At 42.9% G+C, this 15,161-nt stretch overlaps 1 annotated feature.

Moving 5' to 3' along the window:
* Positions 148-675: an enhancer, noted in NCBI's record as "H3K4me1 hESC enhancer chr22:44946331-44946858 (GRCh37/hg19 assembly coordinates)". NCBI's record gives its function as "activates a minimal SCP1, AML or CMV promoter by ChIP-STARR-seq in naive H9 embryonic stem cells {active_cell/tissue: H9 hESC(naive)}" and the evidence as "EXISTENCE:reporter gene assay evidence [ECO:0000049][PMID:30033119]".

Below are 15,161 nucleotides of genomic sequence, written 5' to 3' on the forward strand. Positions count from 1 at the left end.
TCTCCTGCCTCAGCCTCCCGAGTAGCTAGGACTACAGGCGCCTGCCACCACACCTGGCTTTTTTTTTTTTTTTTTTTTTTTTTGTATTTTTAGTAGAGACGGGGTTTCACCGTGTTAGCCAGGATGGTCTTGATCTCCTGACCTCGTGATCCACCTGCCTCCCAAAGTGCTGGGATTACAGGCGTGAGCCACCGCGCCTGGCCCACGTCCAGCTAATTTTTGTATTTTTAGTAGAGACGGGGTTTCACCATGTTGGCCAGGATGGTCTTGATCTCTTGACCTCGTGATCTGCCTGCCTTGGCCTCCGAAAGTGCTGGGATTACGGGTGTGCGCCACCGTGCCCAGCCTCGAAATATCTTTATTCTACTCTCCTAGCTGATCAGTGGCTTGAGTGGTTATCCTAGGCCCAGTTCAGTCCAGGAAGAGAAGCCACAATGAGCATTGTGGGAGGAGGGGCCCATCATAGGAATGAGACCTTGCACAATCCTAGGAAGAGCAGGGGAGCGGAGCTGGGGAGGAGGGGAGCGGGAGAGTCAGGAAAGACTCAGCAGCCAGCCCTCCTGAAGCCTGGGGCAGGAGGCCAGCTCGGAGCTTGCAGGAAAGTCATGAGAAAGTCACGCACATCCAGCTGCACGGGTCAGGGCGCCGGGGGAGGTCTGGCCAAGAGGCTGCAGGAGCTGCTGCCTCTGCAGCTGCCACCTCTGTGGGGAAGCCCAGGGCCACTGTCGGGGCAGCAGGGTCAACGGTGGGGAGCATGAGCAGGACCCAGGGTGAGGAAGAGTGCGGACACCCTGGAACTCACGGAGCACCTGTGCAGCGGTCTCTCCCCATCTCCGATCACAAAGTCGCTCAGAGGAGCGCAGCCTGCTTGCTTTTGCCTGCCAACAGCCCGCGAGTTGTCAGCCTGCCATCTAAACAAACCCCTTCTCACTATATTTAACTTCCTAATAAAGACAGCAATGAAATCAGGCTGCTTCCTCACACGATGCAACTGTTCCTTATTAAAATCGAAAGTGCACTAACCTTCTACCCTCCCAGCCTCAAAAAGAGACTTTCTCCATCTGCGAAGGGGGCAATCCCCCTTCTGGCTGAGTCACTCCCTCTTTGACATCCTGTGACTTAAGTATCAAGACGTAAGGCCAGTCACGATGAACACAGCTTATGTGAGATAGCAGGGGAATGGAAGAAGGAAATGATAATTGGTTAATATGGGGGCCGGGCGTGGTGGCTCATGCCTGTAATCCCAGCACTTTGAGAGGCTGAGACAGGTGGATCATCTGAGGTTAGGGGTTCAAGACCAGCCTGGCCAACATGGTGAAACCCCATCTCTACTAAAAATACAAAAATTAGCTGGGCGTGGTGGCAGGTGCCTGTAATCCCAGCTATTCGAGAGGCTGAGGCAGGAGAATCACTTGAACCTGGGAGGCGGAGGTTGCAGTGAGCCGAGATCACACCATTGCACTCCAGCCTGGGCGATAAGAGCAAAATTCCTTCTAAATAATCATAATAATAATTGGTTAATGTGATTGAAAATGTTAGTAACAACAGCATAAAGTGTGAGTACTCCTAACTGACCCCCTTCCCTTCCACCACCGCTCACATGGCTGTGCCTGGTGTGTAGGGCCTCCTCTCCTGTATTCATCCGGTATTTCCTCTGCCCAAAGCAAGCACTGCAGCTGGATTCCTTGTCTAGTGTGGTGACTATGCCTTTGGTGATCCCTGGCATTGCTATTGTCATTGTTTTGGGGCGCCAAAAACCACGGCAAACTTAATGGAGGAATATCGTGTGTTCTCTAAGGGTTCCGCCCACCCATCTTTCCCTTGTCTCTCTTCCTCTCCTCAGGCCTCTTTATTCCCTGGGACACAGTAATATTAAAAATAGGCCAATTATAACCTTACAATGGCCTTTAAGTTTTCAATGAAAGGAGGAGTCCACATCCCTCCCTTTAAATCAAAAGTTAGAAATGGCTAAGCTTGGTGAGGAAGGCATGTGAAAAGCTTGAGACAGGCCAAAAGCTGGGGCTCTTGAGCCAGTTAGCCAGATTGTGAATGCAAAGAAAAAGTCTCACTCTGTTGCCCAGGCTGGAGTGCAGTGGAGCGATCTCAGCTCATTGCAACCTCTACTTCCCAGGTTCAAGCGATTCTCCTGCCTCTGCCTCCCAAGTAGCTGAGATTACAGGCACGTGCCACCACGCCAGGCTAATTTTTGTATTTTTAGTAGAGATGGAGTTTCACCTGTTGGCCAGGCTGGTCTTGAACTACTGACCTCAGGTGATTCGCCTGCCTCAGCCTCCCAAAGTGCTGGGATTACAGGTGTGAGCCACCGTGCCCGGCCAAGAAAAAGTTATTGAAGGAAATTAAAAGTGCTACTCCAAGCCGGGCACAATGGCTCACACCTGTAATCCTAGCACTTTGGAAGGACGAGGTGGGTGGATCACCTGAGGTCAGGAGTTCGAGACCAGCCTGGCCAACACGGTGAAACCCTGTCTCTACTAAAAATACAAAAATTAGCTGGGCCTGGTGGCGCATGCCTGTAATCCCAGCTACTTGGGAGGCAGAGGCGGGAGGATCGCTTGAACTTGGGAAGTGAAGGTTGCAGTGAGCTGAGATTGCACCACTGCACTCAAGCCTGGTTGACACAGTGAGACTCCTCTCCGGAAACAAACAAAAAAAAAAAGTGCTACTCCAGTGAACATAGAATGCTAAGAAATTGAAACAGCCTTCTTGCTGATGTGAAATTTGAGTGACGTGGATTGGCAGATCCCAGCAGCCACAGCATGTTAAGGAAAGAGGCCGTCTCCTTAACGTAAAAGCATAACGTGGAGCAGCAAGTGCTGATGGAGTAGCTGCAGCAAGTTATCCAGAAGATCCAGCTGAGATCATCGATGCAGGTGGCTACACTAAACAACTGATTTCCAATGTAAATAAAATAGCCTTCTATTGGAAGAAAATGTCATCTAGTGTATAGCTAGAGAAGAGAAGTCAATGGTTAGCTTTGAAGCTTCAGAGGACAGATCGACTCTCTTGCGAGGGGCTAGTGAAGCTGGTGACTTTAAGTAGAAGCCAATGTTAATTTGCGATTCTGAAAACCTTGAAAATTCTAGGACCCTTAAGAATGATGCTATACCAGCCGGGTGCGGTGGCTCACAGCTGTAATCCCAGCACTTTGGGAGGCCGAGGTGGGCAGATCACCTGAGGTCAGGAGTTCGGGATGAGCCTGGCCAACATGGTGAAACCCCGTCTCTGCTAAAAATACAAAAATTAGCCAGGCATGGTGGCAGGGACCTGTAGTCCCAGCTACTGGGGAGGCTGAGGCAGGAGAATTGCTTGAACCCGGGAGGCGGGGGTTGCGATGAGCCGAGATCACGCCATTACACTCTAGCCTAGGCAACAGAGAGAGACTCCGTCTCAAAAAAAAAAAAAAAAAGAAGAAGAAGGATGCTATATCTACTTTGCCTGTGTGCTCTATACATGGAACAACAAAGCCTGGTGACAGCACATCTGTTTACAGAATGGCTTGCTACATATTTGAAGCCCACTGTTGAGACCTACTCCTCAGAAAAAGATTCCTTTCAAAATAGTACTGTTCATTGACTCTGCATCTGGTCACCCAAGAGCTCTGATGGAGATGTATAAGAAGAATGTTGTTTTCATGCCTGCTAACACTTCATCCAGCCAGGCACGGTGGCTCACGCCTGTAATCCCAGCACTTTGGGAGGCCGAGACAGGCGGATCATGAGGTCAGGAGATCGAGACCATCCTGGCTAACACAAGGAAACCCCGTCTCTACTAAAAATACAGAAAAAAATAGCCAGGAGTGGTGGCAGGTGCCTGTAGTCCCAGCTACTCGGGAGGCTGAGGCAGGAGAATGGCATGAACCTAGGAGGCAGAGCTTGCAGTGAGCCGAGATTGTGCCACTGCACTCCAGCCTGGGCGACAGAGTGAGACTCCGTCTCAAAAACAAACAAACAAACAAAACACTTCATCCATTCTGCAGCCCATGGATCAAGGAGTCATTTTGACTTTCAAGTCTTATTATTTAAGAAATACGTTTCCTCAGGCTGTAGCTGCCTGATGGATCTGGGCAACGTTTCCCAGTTTATATAATACTGAGAAGCCAATACATTTGTGTGACTTGCTTTATTATGACTCTCTTCATTGTGGTGGTCTGGAACCAAACGTGCAATACACCCAAGGTGAGCCTGGCTGTGGTAGTGTACTTTCCTCCTGGTCATTCTTTGTACCCAGCGCCCTGGTGCCAACTGGACATGAGTCTAGTGACAGGTCTGGAAGAAATGAGAGGTGGTGGGGATCGGCCATCTCAGAAGAGGTCACTACAGGCTCTTAGGCAATGGGAGACTGACCTCCACACACGCAGGAGGAGAGGCTGCCTCTATTGAACTAAGGATGCATAGCAGGATTCAGGGGTCGCTGGTGCTCGGTTTCATCACAATCTGCCCAGGTGTCCGTTCATTCCAATTCTGAGAGTCTTGCTTTTTCCCAATCATTCTAATTTAGATATGAGGTGTTGTGAATTTAATTGCATTCTTAAACTGCATTCACCTGCAAGATTAGACTTTGGGATGGGTTTTCAAAAATCTCTCAATCCTGTGGCTAAAAGAGATGAGGATGTCTTTCCAGGAAGTCAGAGGCACTCTCGTCTTCCCAACCTGGAACTTGTGCTGGGAATTTACAATCCTGAGCTATCATTTCCTTCTCCAAATTCCCCAAAACACTTACATGTCACCAGCCAGACCCACTGTCCGTCTATTCCTCATGGTCACTAAAACATTCTCGGCTGCAGCTTCTCAGTCACTCAAAGCCTTGCCTCTATAGGCACTTGGTCTGGGAGACCCTGAGTGATGATTTAAGTAGTTGCTTTGCCAACGTATGCCATGGATGACAAATCTCCTAATTACCTCTGGCCATGGGGTTGTTAATGCCTTTAAATCTAGTCGAACCAGAAAATCAATTCTAGATTGCTACGCATTTGTTTCTGCTCCCTGGAAACACTTCTAAAAGATGCCAAAAATTCTATCAGACAGTGATTGGTTAGGGAGCAGAGCTAGTATGGATGTTATTGCAGAAATTAGACCTTGTGGCCAGGCATGGTGGCTCATGCCTGTAATCCCGGCACTTTGGGAGGCCGAGGAGGGTGGATCACTTGAGGCCAGGAGTTCGAGACCAGCCTGGCCAAAATGGTGAAACCCCATCTCTACTAAAAATACAAAAAATTAGCCGGGTATGGGGGTACGAGACTGTAGTTGCAGGTACTTGGTAGGCTGAGGCAGGAGAATCGTTTGAACCCTGGAGGCAGAGGTTGCAGTGAGCCAAGATCGTGCCACTGCACTGTAGCCTGGGTGACAGAGCAAGACTCCATTTAAGAAAGAAAAAAGGAAGGAAGGAAGGGGAAAGAGAGAGAAAGGAAGGAGAAAGAGAAAGAAAAAGGAAGGAAGGAAAGAAAGAGAAAGAAAGAAAGAAGAAAAAGAAAGAAAGAGAAAGAAAGAGAGAGAGAGAAAAAGGAAAGAAAGAAAGAGAAAGAAAAAAAGAAAGAAAGAAAAAATTAGACCTTGCACAATAGTGAGAGGGGTTGGAAAAGGGAAGGTACAGATGGGCAGAGGGTCACTAGCCACCTGTTGTCCACACAGGTGGACAAGTCAGGGCTTTCAGGAAAACCCCTGAAGCCAAGCATATCCAGCCATAGATGTGAGAACAAGCCGGAGGGGTTTTTAGGGAGGGTCTGGGAGAAGCCATTGCCTCTGAGATGGGCCTGGGGCCGCAGGTGGTCAGTGGGGCTGGCAGGAAGAAGAGTGTGGGTGAAGAAGAAAGACTCTGAAAATAAACTGGAACCCACTGGGCACGTCTGCAGAACCCTGTCATCAATCAGAGACTTTCAGAAAGTAACGGCTACTACACCCCATCTGCTGCTCAAGTCCTGCAAATTATCTTCTTGGCCAAACTTCATGGATAAAGGAATTTTGTTCACAGCAATCATTTTCAGCACACTGGGTGTAGAATTCTGCAGGAATTGCTCCACGGTTCTCTCACTCCCAAAATTGCTATTGAGAAGTTAAAAGATATTCTTTTCCCCCATCTTTTGTATACAGCTCCTCCTCCCCATCCCCCAGCTTCATTTCTCTGTCCCTAAGCATCATGAAATGTCACGGTCATCTGTTTGGTCTTGGTTTATTTTCATCCGTTTTTCTGGACAATCAGTGGTCCTGCAAGTAGAAAATGTTTTCATCGTTTCCTTGATAAATGCTTCCCTCTGCCTTTCCGTTCTCTCCTTGTGGAACTTCTGGGCTTTCCCCTCATTTTCTTACCTTTTCTCTTCTATTTTCCCTGTGTCTTTTTTTTTTTTTTTTTTTTTTTTTTTAGACAGTGTCTCGCTCTGTCACCAGGCTGGAGTGCAGTGACGCAATCTCGGCTCACTGCAACCTCTGCCTCCCGGGTTCAAGCGATTCTCCTGCCTCAGTCTCCCAAGTAGCTGGAACTACAGGCAGGCACCACCATGCCTAGCTAATTTTTGTATTTTTAGAAGAGATGGGGTTTCACCATGTTGGCCAGGATGGTCTCGATCTCTTGATCTCATGATCGGCCCGCCTCGGCCTCCCAAAGTGCTGGGATTATAGGTCTGAGCCACCGCAGCTGGCCCTCTGTGTCTTTTTTGTTCTGCTTTCTACCATAGTGGATTGCATTTAGTTTCCAGCTTTTCTATTGAGTTTTTCATTTCTGCTGTAATATTTTTATTTTCTAAGCACTCCTGTTCTGTTTTATGGCTGCTTGTTCTGATAGAAGGATGTCTTATTCCTCTGAGGAGATCAGTGATGGTATTTTTAACTTTTTCTTCTCTTTCCATAGTATCATTTCCTCCAAGTTGCTTCTTGCTGATAGTTTATTTTGGTCACACCTTTCATCAGGTGACCCTGGGTTGTTGATCATATTTGACTGTGCAGTTCTAGCAGAGCTGGTTTCGAGTGGCTGCTCTCAGCCACGAAGGTACGGCACTTGCCCTGCTGCCGTTAATAATTATAAAACTGGAGGGGAGGAATAGATGAAATATTGTTTTCAGATCTTCAACATTCAAAACTCAATTACTGTAATTCATTACAAGATGAATCAAGATTCACAAAATAAAGGTGACAACCCATATGACCAGCTCCACAGATGCAGAAAAAGCATTTGATAAAATTCAACGGTCATTTGTCAGAAAAAACTCTTAGCAAACTAGGAATGAAAAGATACTTCCGCAACCTGATGGAAGGTGTGTACAAACAAAGCTCAACAAAATTCTACAGTTCGCATCACACATCACCATGAAGAATAAATGCTTCCTCCCGAAGATTCAAAGCAAGGCAGGGATGTGAGCTTTCTCTTCAACATTAGACTGGAGGGCCTGCCCAGGGAAACTCAGCAGGAAAAAAAATGTTTAAGCTTACAAATGGAAAGAAAGAGATAGACCTGTCTTTATTCACAGATAATATTATATATGTTGGAAATGCTAAGGGATCTTTTAACTGCTTTACTAGAAAGCAAATTTAACAAGGTCACAGGATAAAAAGGCAATAGAGAAAGACACATTTCTATACACTGTAATGACTGATATTAAAAGTGATACCTTTGCAATACCATAAAAAACATCAAATACTTAGGAATACATTTAATAAAATACATGTAAAGCCTCTACACTAAAGGCTATAAAATAATGTGTACAGGCCAGGCACAGTGGCTCATGCCTCTAATACTAATACTTTGGGAGGCGAGGCGGGAGGATCACCTGAGGTCAGGAGTTTGAGACCAGCCTGGCCGACATGATGAAACCCTGTCTCTACTAATAAAAAAATACAAAAATTAGCCAGGTGTGGTGGTGGGTGCCTGTAATCCCAGCTACCCAGGAGGCTGAGGTAGGAGAATAGCTGAAACCCGGGAGGTGGAGGCTGCAGTGAGCAGAGATCATGCCACTGCACTCCAGCCTGGGAGCCAGGCTCCATCTCTAATGATAATAATAATAATAATAGTAATGTGTACTGAGATAAAATAAAGACGAAATAAGCAAACGGGGAGAGATACCATGATCATTGACTGGAAGATTCAATATTTATAAGATAGCAATTTGCCCCAAATTTATCTAATGATTCAATGCAATCCCAATCAAAATCTCGACAAACCAATCTATAGTGGCAAAAAGCAAATCGGTGATTGCCTAGGGGCCAGGGTGGGTTGGGCATTAAGGAAACAGAAGAGTCAGAGGAAAACTCCTGGGGCTGAGGCTCATGTCCATTGTCTTGATTGTGACGATGGCCCACACATGAACACACGCTTCATAACTTACTAAACTGTGTACTTTAAATGTGTGTCATCTATTATATGTCAATTATAGCTCAATGATAATGTTTTTTAAATAATTTAATCTCAGTAGTCATTTTTTTTGTTTTGATTTGTTTTTTTTGTTTTGTTTTGTTTCAGACAGTCTCACTCTGTCACCCAAGCTGGAGGGCAGTGGCACAGTCTCAGCTCACTGCAACCTCTGTCTCCCGGGCTTAAGCAATCCTCCTGCCTCAGCCTTGTGAGTCACTGGGACTACAGGCACGCACCACCACGCCCAGCTAATTTTTTTGTATTTTTGGTAGAGACGGGGTTTCACCATATTGCTCAGGCTGGTCTTGAACTCCTGACCTCAAGTGATCCACCCACCTCGGCCTCCCAAAGTGCTGAGATTACAGGTGTCAGCCACCGCGCCCAGCCCTAGCAGTCATTTTTAAAGTTAAAAGTTGATTCTTTTTTAAAAATAAAGAAAAGAAGTTGAATTGGCTCACAATTCTGCATGGCACCAACATCTGCTTGGCTTCCGTCAAGGACCTCTGGAACTTTGCAGTCATAGCAGAAGGTGAAGGAGAGGCAGGCACCTCACATGGCAAGAGCAGAGCAAAGGAGATGGGGGAGCAGCAACGCACACTTTTCCTTTTTTTTTTTTTTTTTAATTTTTTTTTTTTGGAGATGGAGTCTCACTCTGTTGCCCAGGCTGGAGTGCAGTGGCACGATCTTTGCTCACTGCAACCTCCGCCTCATGGGTCCAAGCGATTCTTCTGCCCCAGCCTCCCGAGTAGCTGGGACTACGGGCACGTGCCACCATGCCCAGCTAATTTTTGTATTTTTTTTTTAGTAGAGACAGGGTTTCACCATATTGGCCAAGCTGATCTCGAACTCTTGACCTCGTGATTCACCCGCCTCGGCCTCCCAAAGTGCTGGGATTACAGGCGTGAGCCACCACGCCAGGCCGCGACACACACTTTTAAACAAGCAGGTCTCATGAGTACGCACTCACTACGCGGAGAACAGCACCAAGCCATAAGGGATCCACCCCCATGATCCAATCACCTCCCATCAGGCCCCACCTGCAACATTGAAGGTAATCAACGTGAGATTTGAGTGGGGACAAATATCCAAACTACATCATTCTGCCCCTGGCGCCCCCAAATCTCATGTCCTTCTCACATTGCAAAATACAATCATACCTTCCCAATAGTCCCCTGAAATCTTAACTTATTCCACCATTAACTCAAAAGCCCCACATCTGGTCTAAAGTCTCACCTGAGACCCACTCCTCAGTACAGTTTCTGTGTTAGACCACTCATGCATTGCTATAAAGAAATACATGAGACTGAATAATTCATAAAGAAAAGATAATTAATTGGCTCATGGTTCTGCAGACTGTACAACCACGGCTTCAACATCTGCTTAGCTTCTGTGAGGGCCTCTGGAATCTTACAAGCATCACAGTTGATTCCAAAACGTATGCAGAAATTGGAAAACATTGAATAGCCAAAAAAAAAAGTTCAAAAAGAAAAATAAGTTTGGAGGACTTTTACGACATAATTTCAAGACTTGCTATAAAGTTATGATAGTGAAGACAGTACAATAATGGCATAAACATAGACAAATAAAAGCACTAGAACAGAATAGAGGCCAGAAGGAAACTCATGTTTATACGGTCAATTGATTTCTTTTTACCTTAGGTGCTAAAGCAAGTTAAGGAAAAGAAAAAACTTTTTAACAAATGGTACCCAAACAACTGACTATACCTACATCTATAACCCTGAGGGGTTACCCTCCATTCTTTAGCTGAGTACTGATCAGCACATGCGTGTGAGGAAGTGACCTCAGATTAGAAAAAGAAACACTGGAACAAAGCTTAAAATCAAGCCTCAGAAGGATCCAACTGTTTCCAAGTAACTGATTTAATGCCCAGAAAATTTTGTAAAAAATATTTAAAGGAATACAGGCAAAATTAATTAATTAAACCACACCCAACAACCAGAGCTCACAATTTCTTGTACCTAATCAAAAATCACCATCTATGCAAAGAGGTAAAAAAGACAGGTCATAATATGGGGAAAAATCAGTCAGTAGAAACAGACCCAGAAATGACATCGATGATAGAATTATTAGACGAAGATACTAAAACAACTCTAAGAAATAGACTCTATTTGTTCAAGAAAATGAGGCAAATGTGCACCTGATAAGAACAGACTGAAAGAGTTTTTTAAAAGACCCAAGTCGGATTTTAAGAGATGAAAAACACACAACAAATTAGACAACACAGAAGAAAAGTTAGGTGAATATGGATACATAAGACTAAGAAGCTATCAAAAAAACGCAGGAAAAAAAGGGAAATATAATGAACAAAGCATCAAATGACCTATATGCATGTCACTGGAATCTCAGAAAAGAAAAGCAATGGGGAAGAGGGATGGACACCCAAAAAAAAGTCTGGAAAAATAGTGGTTATATTTTTTCAAATTTAATGAAAACTATCAATCCATAGGTCCAAACATCTCAATGAACTAAAGCATAAGAAACATGAAGAAAACCACACCAAGGTGCCTCATCATCAAATTTCTGGAAACAGATGTTAAAGGAAAGCATTAAAAGCAGCAAGAGAGCAAAAAAAGACACATCACACACAGAAGAACAAAGACAAAGTTTACAGAAAGCTTTTTAGAAGAAACAATAGAGGTCAGAAGATGGGTGACATCATCACTTTGAAGTACTGACGGAGAATTAACTGTCAAGTTTGAATTCTATATAGAGATAATATATTTTTAATGAAGACAAGGTAAAGATTTAATTTAACGTAAGAAGCAGAGAGATTTGATCCCAAGCAGAGCAGCACTACAAGAAATTCTAAAAGACCTCCTTTGGGCAGAAGGAAAATGATGCACATACTAAGCAGAAACCTGAATAAACATGTAGGAACAAAGAGCATCAAAAATGGTGATCAGGCCGGGCACGGTGGCTCACACCTGTAATCCAGCACTTTGGGAGGCCACGGCGGGAGGATCACTTGAGCCTAGGAGTTTGAGACCAGCCTGGGCAACATAGGAAGACCCTGTCTTTACAAAAAAAACTACACAAATTAACTGGGTGTGGTGGCATGTATCTGTAGTCCCAGCTACTCAGGAGGCTGAGGTAGTAGGATCACTTGAGCCTGGGGAGGTTGAGGTTGCAGTGAGCCAAGGTCACACCATTGCACTCCAGCCTGGGCGACAGTGAGACCCTGTCTCAGAAACAAAACAAAACAAAAATGGTAATCATGTCAGTAAATGTAAAAGACATTTTTAAAATTGTTTATGCCCTTTAAAAGATTATTTCTGTTTCAGGCAAAAATAACAACAATGTATTGTGAGATTTATAATAAATGTAGAAGTAAAATCATGGCGGTACTAGTGGAAAAGCAGAGAGATGTAAAGGGAAGGGCACTGTCGTGGGAGCTTCACACTCCAAGTGAAGGGGCGCAAGAGTCCTCGAATGTTAACTGTGACGAGTTAAAGATGTCTACAATAAATACTAGAGCAACTACTTTTAAAACACAGGATGGGGGGTAGCTAATACGCCCATGGAGGAAATAAAGTAGAATTATAAAAATATCCAATTAAGGCAAAAGAAGGAAAGAGAAGCAAAGAATAGATGAGACAAATAGAGGGGGAGAAAGCAAAGTAAAAGATTTAAATTCAGTTGTAACTATATCACCTTTAAGGTAAGCAGTCCAGACACTCTAATTTAAAGGTAAAGATTGTGAGACTGATGTCAGGTTCCTTTTTTTTTTTTTTTTTTTTTTTTTTGAGACGGAGTCTCGCTCTGTTGCCAGGCTGGAGTGCAGTGGTGCAATCTTGGCTCACTGCAACCTCCGCCTCCCAGGTTCAAGCAATTCTCCTGCCTCAGCCGCCTGAGTAGCTAGGGTTACAGAAGTCCATCACCAAGCTCAGCTAATTTTTTGTATTTTAATAGAGACGGGGTTTCACCATGTCGCCCAGGCTGGTCTCAAACTCCTGATCTCAGGTGATCTGCCCGCCTTGGCCTCCCAAAGTGCTAGGATTACAGACATGAGCCACCATGCCCGGCTAAGATTTTTTTTTTTTTTTTAAGCTAAGACTCTTATACACTGATTACAGAAAGTCAACATTAAACATAAAGATACATATAGGTTAAAAGTAAAAAGGTGGAAAAAGGCTGGGCGTGCTGGCTCATGCCTGTAATCCCAGCGCTTTGGGGGGCCGAGGTGGGCAAATCACCTGAGGTCGGGAATTTAAGACCAGCCTGGCCAACATGGTGAAACCCTGTCTCTACTAAAACTACAAAAAATTAGCCATGGTGGTGCATGCCTGTAATCCCAGCTACTCAGGAGGCTGAGACAGGAGAATTGCTTGAACCCAGGAGGCAGAGGTTGCAGTGAGTTGACATCGCACCAATGCACTCCAGCCTGGGTGACAAGAGTGAAACTCCATCTCAAAAAATAAAAAATAAATAAATAAAGATGGAAAAAGATATGCCATCTTAAGATTAACCTCAAAAAAAGTCAAAGTGTGGATATTAATATTGGAAAGGTAGAGTTTAGAGAAAATAATATTACCAATAATACAGAAGGTCATTGAATGATGAAAGGGTCCCTGCATCAAGAGACGAATAATGCTAAAAGTTTATGCACTTGTTAACAGAAATTCAAAATGCATACAGCAAAACTGACAGAACAGAACTGAAAGAAGAAATAGACATATCTACAGTTATAACTGGAGATTTCAATACCCCTGTTTAATAATATAATGATGAGATAGAAAATCAGTAGTATATAAAAGATTTGTACATTATCAACCACATAACCTAATCAACATATAAAGCACTCCACCCCACAATAGCAGAAAGCACACTATTTTCAAGTGCACAAAACGTTTACCAAGATAGACGATTTCCTGGGCCCTAAAACCAGTCTCAAAAAGTTGGAATGGGTTTAAATCATACAAAGTATGTTCTCTGACCACAATTGGGCTAAGTTAGAAATCAATAATGGAGAGATGCCTGAAAAATGCCTAAATATTTTGAAACTAAAAAATACATTTCTAAATAATTCACTGTTTAAAGAATAAATCACAAGTGAAATGATCATTTTTAACTAAATGAAAATGAAAACTTCACATACCAAAATATGTGGGATACAGCCAATGCAGTGCATAGAGGGAAATTTTTTTATTAATAAATGCTTCTATTAAAAAAGAATAAAGTTTTCAGATTGACTTAAACTTGCACCTTAAGAAATCCGACAAAGGAGAGCTAAGTAGTCAGAAAAAGGGGAATGATGAAAAGCAGAAATTAATGAAATGGAAAACAGGAGAACAACAAAGAAAATAAATAGAAACAAATGTTTGTTCTTTTAAGTAAGTTGTTAAAATTAATACACCTGTAGCCAGACTAATCATGACCAAAAGAGAGCAGACACAAGTTTTCAGCATCATGAATGAAAGAGGAGATACCACTACAGACCCTATAGACATTAAAAGGCTAATATGAACAATGTGATGCCAATATGTCACACAACTTACATGAACTTGACAAATTCCTTGAAAATGTTTGCACTACCGAATCTCACTCAAGAAGAAATAGACAACCTAAATAACTTTACACCTAGTAAAGAAATTTAATCTGTAATTAAAAAAAAAAAAAAAAAAACTTCCAACAAAGAAAACTCCAGGTCCAAATGGCTTTGCTTGTGAATTCTACCAAACATATAAAGAAGAAATAATGCCAGTCCTATACAAACTCTTTCATAAAACTGAAAATGCTGGAACACACCTCAATTCATTCTGTAAGGCCAGCAATATCCTGATATTAAAACTAGTCAAAAATATTACAAGAAAAAAAAAACTACAGGCCAACATCTCTCACAAAAGTTCTTAAACAAATTTTAGCATATCAAATTTAAATTCACACACACACACACATACACAGAGACAGACAGATAGATAGAAATAATAATGTACCTTGTTAGCATGGGGCTTACCCAAGGAGGGCAAGCTTGGTTTAACATCTGAAAATCAGTCAATGTAATTCACCATCTTAAAAGACTAAATAAGGAAAACATTAGATAGAAGAAATAAGACGTGGTGTCCAACAGATGAGTAGGATGATTATAGTTAATATTAATTGATTATACGTTTCAAAATAGCTAGAAGGGAGTAATGTGAATGTTCCTAGTGTAAAGATAAATATCCATCCATTGCAATTGCAATTACCCTGATTTGATTATGTAAATATATCAAATTATCACGTGTACCTTGAAAATATGCACAGCTATTATTTATCAATTAATTAATTAGTTAAAAATATTTTCAAAGAACAATAAAATCCTCTCAATAGATACAGAAAAGACATTTGACCAAATCCAACATCCATTCCTGATTCTGCTTTTTTAAACTCAGCAAACTAGAAATAGAAGATTACTTTCTCAACCTGAAAAGCGGCATCTAAGGAAAACCCACGGTTAATATCATAGTCAATGATGAAAAGCTAAATGCTTCCTCCTTCCTCCCCAAATCAAAAATGAGGCAAGTATGCCTATTCTTACCACTTGTACTTAACATTGTATTGGAGGTGCTTACCAGTGTGTTGGGGCACAAAAAATGAAATAAAGGCATCCAGGTCGGAAAGGATGTACTAAAACTCTCTTTATTCATAGGCAACATGACTGTTTCTATAGAAAATCTAAACAAATCTACAAAAACCCACAAGAACTAATAAGTGAGTTTGGCAAGGTTTCAGGATACAAAATCTATATATAAAAATTAATTGATTTCTATATACCAGCAATGAACCATCAGAAATTGCAATTT

The sequence above is a fragment of the Homo sapiens genome, chromosome 22 (assembly GCF_000001405.40).
Source record: "Homo sapiens chromosome 22, GRCh38.p14 Primary Assembly".
Classification (NCBI taxonomy): Eukaryota; Metazoa; Chordata; class Mammalia; order Primates; family Hominidae; genus Homo; species Homo sapiens.